General features: G+C 44.9%; 1 annotated feature.

Annotated features, from left to right (window-relative positions):
• Positions 1,056–1,556: an enhancer, noted in NCBI's record as "H3K4me1 hESC enhancer chr16:18983611-18984111 (GRCh37/hg19 assembly coordinates)". NCBI's record gives its function as "activates a minimal SCP1, AML or CMV promoter by ChIP-STARR-seq in naive H9 embryonic stem cells {active_cell/tissue: H9 hESC(naive)}" and the evidence as "EXISTENCE:reporter gene assay evidence [ECO:0000049][PMID:30033119]".

Genomic DNA, 4,895 nt, shown 5'->3' on the forward strand with positions numbered 1-4,895 from the left:
TTCTAACACCACCCCTCCAATGCTGACAACAGCTTCCCAAAACAAGCTTTCTGAGTCAGATAAGGAAGTTTCTGAGAGATCCTCCTAATGCTTCAGAAAAGAGCATCAGAAACACAGGGTTTAATACAATCATTCTTCGTTTATGAACGTTTGTGTTACTTGTTGAAGGAAGAGCCATAGCAGACAATGTTGGTTGGATCACCTGATATTATTCAGAACCTCATTCTAGAGTCTAGAAAACCAGATCTTCACTTTTCCAGACTTTCTTGCATCTCTGGATGGCCATAATGCCAACTTCTGCTGGTTTTGTCCTTAAACCTTTTTTATTGTCTTGAACAGGGATATGATGTTTGGAGATGTGGCAGCCATCTTGTAACCATGAGGACAAAAACTCTATATGCTATGAATGTCATTAGGGCTCAGAAAACAATACCCCAAAAATATGGTGCTTTGTCCTTTTTACTGATCTAAAGAAGCAGCCTCGAGGTCCCTCTGTGACCTTCACTCACCTCCTTGTCTTTCTGATCCTCTTTCCTGAAGCAACAGGAGGGACTCTGTCCTTATCTAAGAACACTTATCTCCAAAGAAATGCAATTGTCTAAGACACCTTCCCTAGGAATCTCATCAAGTAACCAGAAGAGACTGGGAGTCGTCACCACATCCAGACTTTTCATCTGTTCTTCTGAGGGCAGCTCTAAGGGATTACCTGGAGGACTTTTACCTGCATAATAAGCCAATATTTGTTCCTGTGCAGTTCCACCCCTCACCTGGTACATCAAACCTGTCTGTCTCATCCAGCTTGCAAAGAGAATCACTTTCAAAATAATATCTGTCTCCAGGTCCATACATCTCTCCTATGAAGAGAGTTTTTTTTTTTTTTTTTTTTGAGACAGAGTCTTGCTTTGTCATCCAGGCTGGAGTGCAGTGGCACAAACTCGGCTCACTGCAACCTCTGCCTCCTGGGTTCAAGTGAATCTCCTGCCTCCGCCTCCCGAGTAGCTGAGATTACAGGCATGCGCCACCATGACTGGCTAATTTTTGTATTTTTAGTAAAGACGGGGTTTTGCCATGTTGGCCAGGCTGATCTTGAACTCCTGATCTGCCCGCCTCAGCCTCCCAAAGTGCTGGGATTGCGGGCATGAGCCACCGTGCCCGGCCATGAAGAGAATATTTAATTTTCAACCACCTGGTCTCTCTTCGAGTCTCATGCTTTGTGTATGGCTCATGTGTTCATAGGCACATGAATAAATTGTGGATCCTTTTTTCTTCATTGATCTGCTTTTGTCAATTTATTATGGAGCAAATGGGCTCGCTTCCTGATGTGCACAGAAGCCAATAACTACAGCACTGGCTTTTGAAAAAATGAAAAAGGTTTTATTGCAAAATCAGCCAGCAAGGAGACAGGAGTCAGGCTCAAATCTGTCTCCTCTATTTGGGGCCTGGGGCAAGTTTTAATGGACCAGAGGGCAAAGGAAAGGATTTGAAAATGTCGGCTTGGCAGAGTCTGATTGGAGGACTTCAAATTTGACCATTTACGAGGCCGGGCGCGGTGGCTCACGCCTGTAATCCCAGCACTTTGGGAGGCCGAGACGGGTGGATCACGAGGTCAGGAGATCGAGACCATCCTGGCTAACGTGGTGAAGCCCTGTCTCTACTAAAAATACAAAAAATTAGCCAGGCGTGGTGGCGGGCACCTGTAGTCCCAGCTACTCGGGAGGCTGAGGCAGGAGAATGGCATGAACCCGGGAGGCGGAGCTTTCAGTGAGCCGAGATTGCGCCTCTGCACTCCAGCCTGGGCGACAGAGCAAGACCCCGTTTCCAAAAAAAAAAAATTTGACCATTTACAATAAGGTATGTTGAGGCAGATCCTAGCCCTGGATCTTTCAGGCCAAGGGACCCCTCACTTCTGAAATAGTCCAGCATTCAGGTTTTGATCATGTCTTCATCTTCTTGGATCTGAGGGGAAGAATGTTTTTTTCTGGATGTTATCAGAGGTCAAAGCTTTTGAGATGGAGTCTGACTCTGTCACCCAGACTGGAGTACAGTGGTGAGATCTCGGCTCACTGCAACCTCTGCCTCCCGGGTTCCAGCGATTCTCCTGCCTCAGCCTCCTGAGCAGCTGGGATTACAGGTGCCTGCCACCACGCCCGGCTAATTTTTGTATTTTTAGTAGAGATGGGGTTTCATCGTGTTAGCTAGGATGGTCTCGATCTCCTGACCTCATGTTCCGCCCACCTCTGCCTCCCAAAGTGCTGGGATTACAGACGTGAGCCACCGTGCCTGGCCTGGATATTCTCTTAATTGCAAACGAAAACATTCCTAATACAAGCTTCTTATAAGAATTTATTTATTTTATTTTTTTGAGATGAAGTCTTGCTCTTGTTGCCCAGGCTGGAGTGCAGTGGCATGATCTTAGCTTACTGCAACCTCTGCCTTGCAGGTTCAAGCAATTCTCCTGCCTCAGCCTCCTGAGTAGCTGGGACTACAGGCAGGCGCCACCACACCCGGCTAATTTTTGTATTTTTAGTAGAGACAGGGTTTCACCATACTGGCCAGGCAAGTCTTGAACTTCTGACTTTGTGATCCCCTCCGGCCTCCCAAAGTGCCAGGATTACAGGTGTGAGCCATCACACCCAGCCCTCTTAGAAGAATTTATACACATTATTATAATTACTTTTTTTTTTTTTTTTGCAATCACTGAACACTTTTTCCTAATGAGGAAGAAGAAAGAAACCTTTACTCAGAATCTATGCCACAGAACTTAGTACTTTGTTAGTTAGGGATTCTCTTGGGAGAAGATATCCCGGTAGGAGCAAGGCTTAGCACTCTACAGCAACTGCTTATTTATTTATTTATTTATTTATTTATTTATGGAGACAGGGTCTCATTCTGTCACCCAGGCTGGAGTGCAGTGACATGATCTCAGCTCACTGTAGCCTTCACCTCCCGGGTGCAAGCGATTCTCCTGCCTCAGCCTCTGGAGTAGCTGGAACTACAGGCACACACCACCATGCCCAGCTAATTTTCGTATGTTTAGTAGAGACGGGGTTTCTCTATGTTGGCAAGGCTGGTCTGGAACTCCTGACCTCAAGTGATCTGCCTGCCTTGGCCTCCCAAAGTGCTGGAATTTACAGGTGTGAGCCACCGCACCCGGTCTGAATGCTTTATTTTATTCTTTTATTTATTTATTTATTTATTTATTTATTTATTTATTTATTTATTTTTCCTTTGAGACGGAGTCTTGCTCTGTTGCCCAGGCTGGAGTGCAGTGGTGCGATCTTGGCTTACTGCAAGCTCTGCCTCCCAGGTTCACACCATTCTCCTGCCTCAGCCTCCCGAGTAAGCTGGGACTACAGGCACCCACCATCATGCCCAGCTAATTTTTTTGTATTTTTATTAGAGACAGGGTTTCACTGTGTTAGCCAGGATGGTCTCGATCTCCTGAGTTGGTGATCTGTCCTCCATGGCCTCCCAAAGTGCTGGGATTACAAGCGTGAGCCACCACGCCCAGCCACTTTATTCTTATAGACGTACTAGCACCCACACAGATGTCTTCTACTCATGCGGTAACATATATGGGAAAATTCTAGAATCCTCCACGAAAATGTCTCCCAAACATGATTAAAAATATGAACACTGGATGGTTGTGGTGGCTCATGCTTGTAATACAAGCATTTTGGGAGGTGGAGGCAGAAGGATTGATTGAACCCAGAAGCTTGAGACCAGCCTGGGCAACAAATTAAGACCCTGTGTATATAGAGTTTTTTATTTTTTATTTTTTTATTAGCCAAGTGTTGTGGTATGTACCTGTAGTCCCAGCTACTCAAGAGGCTGAGGTGGGAGGATCACTGGAATCCAGAAGGTTGAGGCTGCAGTGAGCTATGATCAGCACTGTACTCCAGCCTGGGTGACAGAGTGAGACCTTGTCTGAAAAAAACAATTTTGCAAAAATGTGGATGGTGCTACAGTTCATAACTAATTTAGGAATTGCTCCAAAAAGCACAGGAAGACAGAGAAAGAGACTGAACAACAATGAAATCTGTTAGCTTTGTCGCCTACTGCTGTTGCCAGTCATTTTCTGCTGCCTGTACTGGAAAGTAGAAAGCCAGGACACAGAGAAGGAATAAGAAGCCTCAGAGAGAGGCTGAAAAGAGATAAAAGGAGAGAGCCACCGTCCTCGGTTCCCTCTGGTCCTCAGCTCCCATCTCCTTCTAAACTCAGCTGCATCTCACCCAGTGTCTTTCCAGTGAATGCCCACTATCTCTTAAGCAAATCAGACTGGGTTATCATTACTGGCAAATAAAAGAGCTGTGGTCTTTACAGCAACATTTTAGCAATCAGCAGGTACCAGGACTTTAAGATAAGTAAGGGGATGTGTTGGTGTGGTCTTTACAGCAATCTTTTATCAATCAGCAGGTACCAGGACTTTAAGATGAGTAAGGGAATGTGTTGGAAGAGGAAGAAAACATTTTGCCAAAGGTTTTGTTTAGGCAAACCAGCCAAATGGGTTTAAAAAAAAAGAAAAGCAAACAAATTAATAGCAAACTTCAATGATCTGTGAAAATTCAGAGAAGCAAAAACATCGGCTAATTCTTTTACTATAAATGAACTAAAATGACGTGTATGCATCTGTTGATGCATGTGACATAATTTAAAAAATATATATTTGGTCTCTGTCCTTGGTTGCTGGCAGACAGCTCCTAAAACCCTTGTAATTTCCTGAGTGATGGGGTGATAAGAGCATCTTTTGCTATGTTTAGTCTTTTTTTTTTTTTTTTTTTTTTGTGATGGAGTCTCACTCTGTCGCCCAGGCTGGAGTGCAGTGGCACAATCTTGGCTTACTGCAACCTCCGCCTCCCAGGTTCAAGCGATTCTCCTGCCTTAGCCTCCTGAGT

The sequence above is a fragment of the Homo sapiens genome, chromosome 16 (assembly GCF_000001405.40).
Source record: "Homo sapiens chromosome 16, GRCh38.p14 Primary Assembly".
NCBI lineage: Eukaryota > Metazoa > Chordata > Mammalia > Primates > Hominidae > Homo > Homo sapiens.